This window comes from Homo sapiens, chromosome 7, assembly GCF_000001405.40.
Source record: "Homo sapiens chromosome 7, GRCh38.p14 Primary Assembly".
NCBI lineage: Eukaryota > Metazoa > Chordata > Mammalia > Primates > Hominidae > Homo > Homo sapiens.
The window spans coordinates 120,623,932-120,640,386 of NC_000007.14; the positions used below are offsets into that span (position 1 = coordinate 120,623,932).

Here is a 16,455-nt window from a genome sequence, read left to right on the forward strand (position 1 = left end):
ATCATAAGATTTAGATTAGATAAAAAATAATTAGAAAATGTTAGTTGATGCAAATATTGTCTGACAAGCAATGCACAAAGACAAAGTTTTTAAGCAGAGTCTGTGAAGTAACCGTTTTGTTTTAGGAAAGTTATTCTGTATAAAATTGTCAATGGCAAAGAAAAAAATGAAAGATGTATGGTTCAAAAAGGTCTTAACTATACTTCTAACTGTATATTCAATTAAGCTTCCAGGATTTAAATTTAACACCAGTGTAAAGCATCCTTACACATCCCTCCGTTTGTTATGTTAAATCGCATTCTAACTAAGACTGAAAACAAGTAATCAGGAGTATCAGTATATTTCCCTCTCGAGATAAATTTGCTCATGGATTTTTCTACTAAAAGTACACATTAATATGGTGCAGCTTTCCTGGATTTAGCCATCTCCAGACTTTTCAGATCTCCAGCAAATTTATTTATTGCATTATATCGGAAGAGAGATATTTAGCACATATTGTCATTATTTTTGTATCCAATAATATTGCAATTAGACAGAAACACATGAAATTATTAAAAACCCATGGTGGGCTGGGCATGGTGGCTCAAACTTATAATCTCAGCATTTGAGGGACCAAGGCAGGTGGATCCTTTGAGCCCAGGAGTTCAAGACCAGCCTGGACAACATAATAAGACCTTGTCTCAAGAAAAAAATTCAAAAATTAGCCTAGCATGGTGGCCCACGCCTGTGGTCCCAGCTAATTTGGCGGCTGAGGTGGGAGGATCACTTGACCCAAGGAGGACAAGGTTGCAGTGAGCTGTGATGGCACCACTGCACTCCAGTCTGAGTGATAAACTGAGACCCTGTCTCAAAAAAAAAAAAAATGGTGGTGGGAGGGATAAAAAATAAGTCAATCAAGTATCTTCCATAGTAGATAAAAATGTGAAAAACAGAAATGACATTTTCTCATAATACATTCAATGGTAGAGCAAGCAAGCAGTCATTGCAAAGCAGTTTTGATTATATTGTAAAAGAATTGACATAAATTTTGATTATAAATTTATGAAGTTCACAGCTGAGAAAAATCACTCACTAATGTATATCTCAAAGTATCTAATTGCAATTTTGCCTATTATGTGATTCATTGCCGAAGGGAAACTAGAATGAGACTTGGCCCATACTCTGTAGTATTAACATCTGACTATAGTATATAGCTGCCATAAAATTAACCGAGGAGTAGGCCTCATAAGTGATGTCTAAGATTAAGTGATTTAGTGTATTGCATCACTTAGATCCGATGAAGTAGAGTAACTAATTGGCAGAGGAAAAAAATCTAAAAACATAGTAAAATAGCAAAGCAAGGCAACTGCCATTAACAGAAAAATGTAATGGTCTCATTAAAGACATTGCATGCAGTCTCCATTCCAATTTTCACAACTCTGGATTTTTCTCTAAGCTTTGCAAAAATATTATCTACTATCATATAATTTTAACTTTAATTCAAATGCAAAATAATGTATTTTAGAACTTCATTATTGGTTTCATACATATGTTGCGGTGTTTTATGTACAATGTCAATCATTTCAATTGATTTCTTGCCCCTACTTTTAAAATCTGAGATAGAGTAATTCATTTAGTTAAAACAGAAAAGTCCTAAGGTCCATTAACTCATACTATATATTTGGGAGTTATTACTTGTGGAATTTTACTTGTGGAAAACTCAGTAGAAATCATGGAGAAATTCAAAAGAATATTAAAATAAGGTACATACATAAATGTATCTAAGCTTTTTGAATTGTGAAATCTGACTGAAAAATTTATGGGATAACTTTCTTATGAGAAGGTTGAAGAAATCTTGGATATGTCAGACAAAAAGAACAATAATAAGAAACTTGAAAACCTTTGAATTCAGTGGTGATATAGGTTTTATAGTTTACTATCATTGATTAAAATAAATCCTTGATAAAAAATTTTGTCCTAACTTTGAAAATTGGAAAAGTGAAAATTTAAAGTACCTTCATAAAATTACTTGGGAAGAACATAATTTTAAATATGTAAGCAAGGACAATAGTGCACTTTAAATTTTGGAACATTTTACAATCCAAACAAGAACCCATTTTCAATTATTCTAAGAACATTTATACTTATTACAGTTTTTGTTTTAAATTTAAGATTACTATTAAGAATGTGTGGTCTGCATTAATATTCGATCATGTACTTTTCTTGAATTTTCTTTTTTATTGCTTCATAAATACATAGTTTGTAAATTTGCCTGGTCCATTTTTGTTTCTACATAAAAAACCAGATTGTAAGAAGAGTAAGTTAATGTTCTAGATATAAAATAAAAGTATTTATTCAAAACCTACATCATATTTAAGCATTCCAGTGGGGAAGACATACAAGAGTAGCATGGCCTCTTCTTTTAAATATCATATGCTCACTTTAGATGTAGCAATGATTCATAAAAGTATGTCCATTATCATTTTGTATTTTCGAGTATGTATTTCTAATGAAAAGTGGGATAAAAGGGTGATCATAATTAGTTGGTACTCACCAAAATGATTCCTGAGATTAATGAGTTTGGTAACAAGGTCATGGATGTGTGGCTGTAGTATAAGTGTCATAGTCAATCAACACTATTTAAGTCCAACAATAGCAAAGAAAAATGACACATCTCTAGATCAGTCTATAATTGATGGCACTAATCTCTTCTGGAATATTGGAATTAATTTCAAAATAAATGTTACAGTAGTCTGCATTGCACATTAAGATGTATAGATTCAATATGCAAATCTGATTCACTGCATGACCTTGGGCAAAGTATTGCCTTTCTCTTTGTAAGATTTTCTTCCTATTTTTAAAAATTAGATTATAGTTTCTTCCCTATACCATTCATAATGTTCTTTGAAAGACCAAATGAAGCCCATGGCAAATATACTTTGAAAAGCATAATATGCTAAAGAAATGTCTCACTCCAAAAAAGTCCCTAAAGAAATCCTCGGGCCTGTTTTCTCATGATCCCTAAGTTCCTTTCCATTGCTGCGATGTACACTACACTGTCTTGGTCTCTTTGAAATTCTCTGTGATTTTTATCTACAGTTGGTTAAGATCCAGTCCCATTTGTGCACAGTATGGTGTCCATCATACACCAAGAGGCTATTGTATTTCAATGTTACTTCAAAGAAGTACTTAGCACAGCAGAAACCTGGATGCAACTGGAAATTAAGTTCACCATTTCCACAAACCCTTATTAAGCATCTGTCACGTGTCCAGCATTGTGCTCGTCGTGAGAATACAGAGAAGGACAGCTCTGCCTTGTGGAATTTTTTTATGTAGAAGAAGAGAAAGGCAAATAAACATATATTAATATTCTACTTTCAATATAATTATTTTTAAAATGAATATGAGAATAAACATATGAGAAATGTTATTCTTTGCTAAAAGGAATAAACATATAAGGAGTGTTTATTCCTTTTATCAATAGCTATGTGATTTAATTTATTATCATCCAGTTCATGAAAAGAAGTTTCAATTAATAATATGATTCCATTCAAAGTATTGATTTATATCAAATTTTCCAATAATTTCCTATTTTGGAAAGTAAAGTTCCTATTAAATGTTACCTACTATAGTTTATTTCAGTCCTTTAAAAATTACTCTTTAATTCATTTGTCTATGTCCTTCTAGCAGTCACATATATAAGCTTCCTGATGAGCTAGCCTTTTCTATTGAATTAAAATGACATGTTTTGGTCTATACTACAGTTTAAGGCAGGAGGAGTAAAGCAGTGGCCCAAATAGTCTAATCAATATTTCATGCTTATAGAATTGTATATAGCAGTTATAATAAAGTATCTATAAACTAAATAAATTATATAATTATGTAATTTTAGGTGAATTTATAATACATAGAACACATATATGGATTATATATAATATTAAAACCATCTATTAATGTATTATAAAGAGGAGAAAAAAATCCATTTATTTGCATACATATAATATTTGCTGTTACCATCACCTTGGCTGGGCGGGCCTTAAGGAGTCTAATATTAAGGCATCAATTAATCTACAATAATTAGTAATTTTTTAAATGTTTAAATACTTTGTTAGACCAGGAAATTTGACATTTAAAAAAAATGCACATGTTGGTTCCAAGAATCTTCAGCTCTAAGGAAATATAATAGCTTTTTTGTTTTTAATCTAAGAAACACTGATAGCAATGAATGTTCAAAGATATAGAGAAGAGAACCAGATTTTAAGATGCCAATTGCATTATAAAAAATAAGCGAACACTCAAATAACTTAGGCAGATTCTGATTCAGTCTCCTCTCGTGAGTTGAGGACAGTAAGCAGAAAGCCAAAGGTGCAAAAATCTAAACTATAAACCAAATTCATGCTATTTTCTGAGCAGCCAGGTCACTTTTGGGGTGAAACCTCAGTACTCTTAGTTACTGTAACAAAAACACAAAGTGAGCAAATCAGTGTTTCACAGTCCAGGGATCAAGGGAATATGTACATTGCCAGGCACTGAGGCAAAGTTAGCTGCAACACTGCCAACCAAATATAACTGTCCTCACAGGAAATCCCCTCTGAGGTAATCCTAATTTTTCAATGATTGCTTCTCCATGTGAATAAGTCAAGATTTGAGAGGAGGTTCAATATGTAATCGAATGAACTAAGAATGCTGTTTCTCTTGGCACATATCTGTCATAAATAAGAATACACTAATGAAATCAGAGCTAACTATGTCCCTAGGGTAGAAAGTTCTTTCCCTTATGTGCCTAGGAATTCTAGAGGCTATTGAAGGATCCTATTCCTTAAGCCCAAGTGCCCAGTTCCAGCCACCGCATAAATGGATAGCACCCCAGGAAACTTCTATAATTAAATCCATATTTACCACATTCTCCACACCATCCCTTCATGCAGCTTTTCTGAATTAATTCAATAAATTTTTATTGTGTTCTTACTTTGTGCCAGGCACTGTTTTATCTGTCGATGAAACCACAGTGAAAAGGCAAGGTTAGAGAACTCGGACTTACATTCTAGTCAGGGAATAAAGACAATACATAAATGATGAGTGATATGAGTAATGCTATTAAGAAAAATGTACGAGGTAAGGGGTTTACGGAAGAACGCTCTGATAAGATAGATGTCATTTCATGAATGGCTTAAGGGAACTAAAAGAAAGAACCATGCACAAAACTGTGGGATGAATTTTTTCAAAGCAGGAGAAACAAGTTGAAGGGCCCTGAAGCGAGAAACTGCTCAGCGTATATGAGTATTAGAAAGAAGGGGCCGGGCACAGTGGCTCACGCCTGTAATCCCACCACTTTGGGAGGCCGAGGCAGGCGGATCACGAGGTCAGGAGATTGAGACTATGCTTGGTAACTCGGTGAAACCCCGTCTCTACTAAAATACAAAAAATTAGCCGGGCGTGGTGGCTGACGCCTGTAGTCCCAGCTACTCAAGAGGCTGAGGCAGGAGAATGGCGTGAACCCGGGAGGCGGAGTTTGCAGTGAGCCGAGATGGTGCCACTGCACTCCATCCTGGGCGACAGAGCGAGACTCCGTCTCGGGGGTGGGGTGGAAAAAAAAAGAAAGGATGCAAAACAAATGACACAGACGTTGTAAGCCATGCGAGGAACTGTTGATTTTATTTTAAGTGAGGTGGAAATTAACTAATCAGACATATTAGAAATGAATTGCTCTTCCTATTGAACGATGGGGTCAAGGTGGACGCTGCAAGTTAGATAGCAGGCTGTTGCAGTAGTTCAAGTGTGAGCAGTATTGGCTGACATTGGTAATGCAGTTGGAATGGTTAGACTTGACCAAATTCTGGATATATTTGGAGGCTACTGGATGGGCTTTGGTGTGTGTGAGAGGGTGAGGAATAAGGGATGCTTTTAAAGTTTTTAGTCGGGACAACTAGAAAAATGGAACTATATTGGAACAAATAAGTGGAAATTAAGGGTCTGGTTTTGAATATATAGAGTTTGAGGTGTGGTTTTAGCATCTAAATGAAAATGGTAAGTAAGCTGTTGGCTATACTAGCCTGGAGTTCAGGGAAGAAATTGAGGCTGGAGTTATTAACCGGGGAGTCAATGGTGTAGATATCGTAATTAAAGGCCTAGCAGTGAGCACACCAAAGGAAAGAAGTCCCAGGGCTGACATTTAGGGAAGATAAATAAGATGGCCAAACAGCCTTGGCAATTCTCTCACTAAGGAATAAGGTCTCAAAAGACAGTGTAGATAAGTAGTTAGCAAGTCGGTTTCATATTAATGCACCAGACACAAACAGTAGTGACCTCAGTACACTGAGGCAATCACTCTTTGGTGAGTAAAAATTCATTAAAATTTTGGAATTGACCGAGGCACTATAGTATCCTAAAGAAAGAAATGTGAGGCAGAATCCATAGACAGTGATTTGAAAAGTTAAAGTTGCTGTTGCATTTCTTCAATGTGAAAAAAAGCCTCCTTTTTTCCCCCAAACTATTTAAAATTTTAGATGTCAATTTCCATTGCTTTGGTTATGAAATATCCAGCTATGTTCAACCAGGTCCATTCCTTCAGGTATATATGGTACAGAAACTGTTATACCAAAATGTTCGGATTTTTTATATTTCATAACAGCTTATTATTAATTTTAAATAAAGGAATTGTGGGGAAAACATAGTTAATACAAATATCTATAATCTATAATCTATAAATATCTATAAAATACTAGTAAAGCTCCTTCTTATTGCCTATATCATTAGGGAATTCCCAGACCATTAAAAGAATGACAGAATTGTGATATCTCGCTTAAAAGGTATTGAGTCATGCTTTTCACAATTTGGCTTTCTAAGATAAGTCACATGAGTTTTAAAACATCTAAGTTGAAGTTTTGCATTTTCATTTGTTTTTATGTTAATGTGAAAATTATTCTTGCCAGAAGCAGACTACAACAGTATTTTAAAGAAGAAATTGAAATTAGGTATATGTGCCTGTTAATGTTATGAGAATCGCACTAACTGCATCTGCTAAATAAGTCTGTAAATTAGAAAATCTTTGGTTTAGTGATTACATCAGCCTTAAGGAGCTGCAGTTTAAAAGAGATTAAATGTGTTTCTAACAACTGCTTTCAAAACTGTTGATAGCAAAGGAAATGAACACCTACTATCTTAAGAAATGTCTGAAAATTTTATCAAGGTAATCTTTTGATTTTCTTGCATTCACGTGGCATTAAATTGAATGTAAGGTCTTATAAAATAATACTGTTGCAAGTATAAATAGTATTCTTATCATCTTTATCTATTGAGTCATTATCAATCCAAATATTTTTCTGAGATGCCATTGTACTTGTCATAAAAAATATGAACTATATTCATAAAAAATGAATATAGTGTATGAAGTAGGCCAGTATTCAGATAGTCAATTTCAATTTGAGGCTCAGTGATTTTAATAATCAAAGCTAGTATCTAATGTTATTAAAAATAATAAGTTTAAAAAATAAAATTGTAGGGACTCATTACTTTGTGAAGGCTTAAGATAATGCAAATGCGAAAGATCACATTAAAAATCCAAGCTTTTGTATGAGCATTTTTCACTTCCTAGGAGGATAAACAGAGAAATCAACATTGGGATTTTCCTCTGGCAAGATATAAAATTGCATATTCTACTTGATGGAATGCTTTCTAAAACAGCATATTTAACTATTTTATAAAGTTGCATTTCTGGATGATATACAGAAAGGAACAACTGTCATTTGAACTGCATATTTCATCGCATAGATTGGCTTTTATATCTGTAAATAGAAAATGTGGACAAGTAATTTTATATGTACATAATTTATTTTATCAGCTTATGATAAGAGCATCAAGTACAAATAGTTCATTGTTTTCAATTTAACGTAGAAATGGGGATTGCATATTCTTCATTATACAAATGTACAGACTCCATTTTGAAAGTTTCTTACTAAGGAATAACAGAGAATGATTAAAATGATAGATACCCTATGTGGTAAGCATTGTCCTCATTGTATTAATGTATTCAGTATGTTGTGGCTTCACAGTGAAATCATCAGCCTAGTGTCTCAATTCATGATGTCAGGACTCCCAACCCGATTTTAGGTTCTTGTCATTACTCTAATACCCCAATTTCCTGGGAAGATAAATGGATTTCTATATATTTTTGTAACCTCTCTGAGACATAGCATGGTTTCTATGTGATTAGAGAAGAGCAATGCCAGTAAATTATATTCATAATGCAGCATCTGCTATTAAAGTCTTTTAATTTTCTATTTAAAAAAAGATGGTACAGAATATCTCATAATTCTACAATTTGCTGTCATTAGTATGTAATTTCAGCAGCATATATGCACACGTGCTGAACAGCGAGAAACAAGGGCATAATTTCAGAAAATAAATACTTCTGTCTTGCACTTGTAAACACCTTGCATCTGAGAAATTGAAAGTAGTTTAACGAAATGAATTTTCAAAGCCAGAGACAACAATCTGTAAATTACAGTTACTACTTTTTTTAGAGAGGTGAAGTACACAATGTAGAGAGTAAGAAAATGGCTCTCTCTGGAGTTATTTGGGGAATGAAAAGTACATACTGAAAGTATCTTTTACTACTGATATATGATAGTCTTTCCATTTTATAACAAGATTTTTTAAAACTTATACTTGGACAAAATCTCCTACACCATGTCTGTTTGTTTAATTTTACTAAAAAATAATAAGCATGATTTATTTGTTGTTCTCTATGTAATGGACACTATACATAAATTATCCCACTAAATCCTCACAGCACCATGAGTTGTTTTACTGTTTTAACAGATGAGGAAATGGGCATGGGGAGGTTAGGTACTTGCCCCAGATCGCACAGTGAAAAGCTGGAGTTAAAATCTTGCTCTGTTACCTTCAGAGGTAGCTTTTGAGCTTAGAAGGATTCCATGCTAGACAAGCCAACATCTACCTCATTGGTGGTCTAGAGTCTGTTTGCAAAGAAACATGAGTAATCTCCCAATACTGGCCAGAATTCTCTCTCATTAAGTTAAGGTGAATCTCCAATCTTGGCATAAGGAGAGGCTTTAAAACCTGCAACAATTCTCAGAAATAATTCCACAGTTAACACATTTACAGGCTTGATCAACCATTGTTAATCACACACGTAAAGCCCTGAATTATCGCCATTTCAAATATTGAGAGAAATGTCTCATTTACTTCTTGGAGGAAGTAAGAATCAAGAGGAGATAGGGCAGAAGATATCATTCTTTTTTTTGAGACTAAGTCAATTTGTCCCCTACTGCTTTTGTAACCAATTGCTCTTTTATTAGGACTGCTTAAAGGAGAACAATGCCACTTGTTGTAAAATTTCTGTTTAAGCAAAGTTGGCAGGTAGGCCCAAAGAGATTAGTTCATTTTGAGAAGCTCTTTACCAATGGAGAGAAAAAACACATTTCAAGAATGGACTGCAATACTGAGACACAACCTGAATCCAATGTATTTGTAAATATGGAAACCAACTGTAAGGCCAGCATTTAGTGGATGGCCAAGAAAAAGCAATAAACGTTTGAAAGAAAAAGACATGACATATTACTTTGACAATAAAATACAACCCGTGCTGAACCATCCAAATCATAATGAAAGCCAAATTTAATCACATATTTATCAAGATTATCTTATATAACTCTCCCCCCAAAACCTGTGGTTGTTAATATTCCCCATTTTACAGATGAGGAAACTGGGATTAAGAAAGTTTGGTGACTTTATCAAAACTATTTGCAAACTGTGGGCCCAAGATTAGAACACAGAGAATTCAAATCCGTAGCCCACGTTCTCAACCATTTCGCTACTCTGAATTTATCATATATTATATAAATGAGAAAACTTACTAATAACTCATGACTTCTTACAATATGGCAACTTTTGCACTATGGTTAAGCAAATTTATAAGCCTGAAAGAGAGCCAGGATCTTATGTTGTTTAGAGAATATATACAATTTTAAGTTGGGTAGTATAGCAAGGATTTTAAATTGCAGCATTTGGCAAATATTTTAAAGCTCTTTGAGTATAATGGAAAACAAATTTTGTCAAACATATAGAAGATATGGTCATAAAGATAGAGTCAAAAGTTCTAATCACTAGCTAATGTCACCATGATCTAACAGGCATTTATAGAATCTTTTTTCATTTTAGACAGTGTGATATTGATCAAATCAATAAAGTATAAAATTTGGAGCCATATATTCTAGGCTCACATTTCAACCCGAGGCAAGAAACTTGCTTCAACTCTTTGAGCCTTAGCTGCTTGAGGATGTTCAACAAGCAAAAAATATGTATTGAACAATAATACTTATTACAATGCCTTCCGACACCAATATTTTATTTATACTTTTATTTGAGAAAATATTAATAAAAATTTTACATAATGATTGGGTAGTATTATTTCACAATACTAGGGAGGCTTACCAACTGCTTACTTGTCATCCCTACTTGAATGTCTCAAACATATTTTATGCTAAATACAACCACCACTTAACTACTCCATTCAACATGTTTCCTAGCACAGGAACTGGTACCGCCATACACTCGATACTCAATCGAGAACCCTGGGTGTAATACTTGTGACCTCCCTCAACTCACTTGCCGTGCCCTGTTCACCCCAAACCTGTTGCATGTGCCCTAGTTATTGACATACCTACTATCACCTTCATTTCTCACCCAATGCTTGTAAAAACTTTTAAGCAACCTTTCATGTTTTTTCTTGACCATCTCCTTTCTATCCTCCACTGCACAGCCAAAGTGAAATTTTAAAATTACAAAAGTAACCATGTTATTCTTCTTTCTAAAACCCTCTAGTAGTATTCCACTGGTCTTAGGGTAAAGTCCAAAGTCCTGATGAGGCTCCCAAGACTCTTCCTCACCTTGCAGGGTAGGGGTCTTCCCCTCACCTCACAGGCCATTCTCACCTGTGGCTGCTCCCCAGCGTTGCTGTCTAGATGTCAGCAATTCCCAAGGTTCTGCCTCACACCACCTCTTCCTCACATCTCAGCTACATCATGCTGTTCCCCTGTCCTGGGATATTCTGTCTTCCCTTGGTTGATTTCTATCGATCTTCAAAATCTACTAGTTGACATCATTTTCTTAGCAAGTCCTTTTCCAGTCCATTGAACTAGGGTAGATTCTTCTGCTAGTAAATAACTTTTACTTTTACTTTTCTTCTGAAAATAGTCATGACACTTACATTTCTTACTTTATGAGCTTGTCTCTCTTGTTCACAGCTCTAGCTCTGGTGCCCATTGTGGTTCCTGATATGTAGCAGGTCATCCATAAATATATTGATATTTCAAAAACTGATGTAGCAGATAAGTGAAGAATGAAATAACAATACTAAGCATTCAGTTGTCTGGGATAGGAATCAATATATTTCATCTTGGGAACTATTGAGAGGACTGCAACATTGGCTGTGGGTGCCACTCCAACTTGTCAACTATGTTGGAATTTCATGTAAATATTCAGTGCAGTGACAGTACCACATTTCCTTCTATCTTTAGATGCAATAAGAATATTGTAAGAACTACACAAATTTGGTAGATATAAGAGAATAAATGAGATTGTTAAAATGTAAAAGATTGAAAGTACAACAAAGATCATGTAATCAGGTGAGTGTTTATTACTTCCTTCGGAGTAGATACTCTGAAACACATATGTATCCTAAGGAATGTTTCCATCTTTTATGATACTTGAGAATTTTTCTTTTTAAGTTTTATTAAGGGCAATAAAAACTTTCTTTGGAATGTCTCCAGTGATTACGAATATTTGATCTTTAAGAACATCTTTGAATTTTTAAACCATCCAAATTTAAGAACTACATGATGTAGATAATTGCCAGGATAAAATGTTATCTTTGACTTTGAAAATAAAAGTAGAAAAGTAATGAAATTGAATTTGGAGGATGAGTCTTAAAGTCTCCAAGAACAATTCTTAAATGATTTCAAAACATTTAAAACAATGGAATAGGAAGATTTCAAATGATGAATATTCATTTGTTTGCCTGGGGCTAGGGATATTTATATAAAAATCTGAACTATGGGCCCTAAAGCTAAGTGCTGAAACGCAACTGTGGCCTTCCTGCTCCAGAAATTACTATCTTCTGTCCAAGTAAAGTGGTTCCTGTACCTCCCTCTGATTCCACAGCTATTCTGTAGATTGATGGGTTTATTTATTTGCTTATTTATTTATTTCCTTATTCATTTATTATAGTTAACATATATATTGTGATCAAAACTTATGTGTTAGAGAAGGGACATATAATGATGACCTAAAAAAACTCAGTTTGTGGGGTGGGTATCAGGGCAAAATTCACGATTATAAGCACAGACAGCAGAGGTGATGGTGTGTAAGGGTGTTATGGAGGTTTACTTAAAGGAAGAACTTGAGCTAGTTGCAAAATTCCCATTACTATTATGATAAGTGCTCTTCCTCATTATGAAATATTTATGTTTGCACTAAAGAGTCTAGAGCATGTTTCCTTGTATTTTAATAATGCTTCATGGGCTATGTTTGCTGTGGATGCTATTATTTTTTGCATAATTAAGTAATGAAGCAATTAGCACAGCAGGCACATGTCAACTAGATAGTGGTTAAAATTTGTGATTAACTAGAATTTTTTGCCGTGCTTGCCAATATTCCTCTTATTACCAAGTGAAGCTGTACTTTTCTCACTATGAAGAGATTGGGTTCCCACATATTTGCTTTGCCTATATAAGTGGATGAATCTTAGCAAAAATATCTCGATGTGAAAGTATGCACTGAAGAGCTGTCTGTAAAGATCTGTGAAATAAATGACTAAGAAAGAACATTAATTAGGTCAAACAAAAATATTAAGGAATAAGCATTTTGCAGATTGCCTAAATTGGCAGTTTTCTCCTCTACAATCTACCAAGTGATATTATAGCTCTTCAACTGTTTTACAGTATGCCTATATACCCTCTGACAAATGGACAGATACTTTAAGGTTAGGAACTTGCATAACTATGAATGGGGAAACTGACCCTTATAAATTCAGACTTTGTGGCTCCATTATGTAGACAAACTGGGAAGAAAAGGTAATTCATCCAGGCTCAAGGTCCACGTGTAATTTTATTCAACAGGCATACATTGTGTACCTGCTCTGTGCCAGCACTTTGCCCTATACTCTGAGCCAAAGATGAGTAAGAAGTGATGTTCCAAAACACATAGTAAGTGCCAAAAAAAGTTTGCTAAATTTTGACAAGTCTTCAGAATTTTCAAATTGAGTCTTCATAATCTGGAATCTAGGAATATTTTTTCAAGATTTCTGAAGGAGAGTAAAATTAAATAAGAAACTGGTGAGAACAAAAAGTCCAGGCATTAAGTCTAAGGATTAAGTCCCTCCTTTGCTTCTTACTTGCTAGATAAATCCAAAACTTCTTTGAATTCAAAATATGTGGATAATTCCTGTCCTGCCAAGATGTAGGAATTTAACCAGACTTAAAATAGATAATGGATTTTAAAATATTATTCAAATTTTTCTTTAAAGAAGTTTTATTTTTAAGCCATTGCAAGGCAATTGTTCACTTAAAGAGCAAGAAATAACTCAGTGTAATTCTTTCATTGACACCAACAATACTATACAAACCAAAAAGATTTCATTTCTATCCATTTCTGATATAAGCATTAACCTAAGGCCACAATTTCTCTAGCCATTCCAGTGCCTATTCTGTATGTGGATAAGTAGATTAACTTGATTTAATCACTGTTTAGGTGAAAAAGAAATCCATCTATGGTGAATTTTTATTAAGTCAGAATTGGAAAATATGTTCTTCACATTTCTCAAGGTGATTTAACAGCTCAAAGTGTCTTAAATCCATATCAATAGTCTGGCAAGTACGATAAACATCATAGAGTTCTAGGACCTAGCTTGAAGAACTTAGCTCCTGTGTGACTTTTGCTGAGAATCTGAAAATGAAGACCCAGCGGAATCCTTACCTCAAAGCTAAAATAAAGTATAAAGAAACCAACACTGGAAGATAACCATTTTGCAAAAGTACAAACCTAACTGATAGAGGAAATGGTAAAGAAAAATCAGAAAAAAAAATTACATTAAAATTGTGGTCTTAGATTATATTGGCTTAAATGGAATACGAGAAAGTGGCTGCAGTAAAATAAAGGTTGGAGCAAAAAGTTTCACAAGTAAATTTGGGATTAGGATCTTCCGCAGAATTTCTTAGACATGTGCTGGTAAAAAGGATCTTTACTACATGCTCACGAGATGTTTTTATATTTCCCATTTTACTGCCTTTGCAATACCCAAAACAAAATAATAGAGTTGTAAAATGTCTCCAGCATGGACTCTCCATGATTAGTACTCCATCTGAGCTCCTACTGATTTAGTATCTGTAAGGCACACTGAACCAGAAGCCAACTGAGGGATGGACAAGTTTGATGTCAGAAGTTTAAAACAAACTGCAAATGCACTTCTAAGGATGTGGCAAATTCCATAATAAATTTACTAGAAGACTAATTAGGAAAAAGCAAAATTTCCCCTGCCATCTGGGGAGGGATTTGGATGCTCTACCTAATAACCAGATATTTGCTTTACCAACTTTCAAGCTTGTTCTCTCAAGGGTGAAATTTTATGTGGATCCTAAAATAGTGTCTTGGAAAAAATATGATATTAGCCCTAAGGATATGTGTGATTTTCAATTTGATGACAAATGATTACCTCCCTAAGATTTTGAGAATAATAAGTCCCATTTGTAGATAGTGCTTACATACTGAGTGGGCCTACACATCTCCCTCTCTAGTTCAAGATGGAAAGTCCTCTCTGGAAATCAAAAGAGTACTTTCATGCAGAAAGTATTCAGACCTGCGTTGGGGTTGTATGGAAATGTAAAAGACTATTAAAAGTAGTAAAGATGTATAGATTACTTAAAGTTACACCTATTGTTGATAGAGGGGACTTGTGGGATATATGTGGTGTGTGTGTATGTTTGTGTGGAGAGAGAGAAACTTTTAAAAGTGAAAACCAAAATTATGCAGGTTATCACTTTACCAAATTCCTCTTCAGTGATATTCTCCTGCGAGTGTTTTAAAGTCCATTTTTCCAAAACAAATTTATAGAATGGTTTTCTTTGGTGTCTCATATATACTGGAAAGAACTTCAAATGCTAGTGTGCACACATACCTTGGCATTACTGAATAAAGCCTGTAGAATGAAATACTGCAACATCTTTGATGGCATTGATTTGGGGAAGAGGTCTCCTTTTTGGCAGTAGAAGATAGAAAATTCTATCAATTTTTCTGACTTTATTCACACAGTAAATGAAAGTGAAAAAGAATACCTCTGAAAGAGCACAGAATCAGGAGGTCCTCTTTTACTATGGGAACTTAGGAAACTTCTTTCAATATGATACATTTTTATGTAACAAAGAACAAAGCTTAAGAAATAGTACAGCTGGTCTTTTATAGTGAATAAAATGGTTTCCTCCAAAAGACATGAGGTTCACAACCATGGGCCTCTGTCCCTTCATTTTAAAATATGGTACTCCCAGTTCTAGCAGAGAGCAGTGCAACTCCACCCCCTGGGAAAAAAGCTGCATGTTCCCTTTCTTCCCATTTCTGTTGCTCACTTAACACAGCATGGGCACAGTAGTTTTTTAATAGATTAATGTCAATACTTGTCCATCATACTGAAATATTAAAGTCAGTTCAATCTTAGGAGAAATACAAGCAACCTTTATGCTAATATTGAGTAGCATATGAGAGTAAGGAATTTGTTTAATCTAACTTGCCCATTCTTAAAGCCGAAAAGTTTGTCTGCCTTGTCGTGTTACGTGTTTGAGCCGTGTGGGTAATTATTCTGTGCCAGCAAGTGTAGTGCCTGGAAATGAACAAAAGCTTCACACAAAAGGATTTTTCTATTTTCCGTGGGTAGAATTTGTACCAAAGCCTTAGTGTCACGAATATCCCATTGTACATTTTCTATTTTTTTTTTACCTAATAAACTTAATACTGAAAAATAGGAGGAAAGGAAAAATGTTTCTATAACTCTCATAAATACACATATGCATCATACCACTTCTGACACATCCATTCTGTAGACTTATAGATATTTTAAATGTATCTTTTTAATAACATTGAATGCTTTCAAATATTGATTATTCAGCAGTATTTCTTCCTTCCCTCTGTGGTTTTAGCCTATCCTGTGGTGTGTGTTGATGAAAAGTCTTGTAATAGATTGAGCCTTCACTGAAATTTATTGTCCTTTTTAGATGATATATATAAATATCCTAAATGAAATGTTGGCACCACCACCAAAGTACTAAAATATGTCATCATTTCTCTCCAGCAATTTCATATTTTACCTGTGTTTGATGTTAATGTGAATGTTATATTTGGGCTCAATAAATATACGTTAAGAAGAAAAGTAAATGTCAATAGGCTTCTTGAACCCTTTCATTAAATAGT

General features: G+C 34.2%; 1 protein-coding gene across 2 annotated transcripts in view; it reads left to right on the forward strand.

Moving 5' to 3' along the window:
* The window catches only part of KCND2 (potassium voltage-gated channel subfamily D member 2), a 477,430-nt gene that overhangs the window by 351,024 nt on the left and 109,951 nt on the right, over positions 1-16,455 (forward strand). The window lies entirely within an intron of this gene.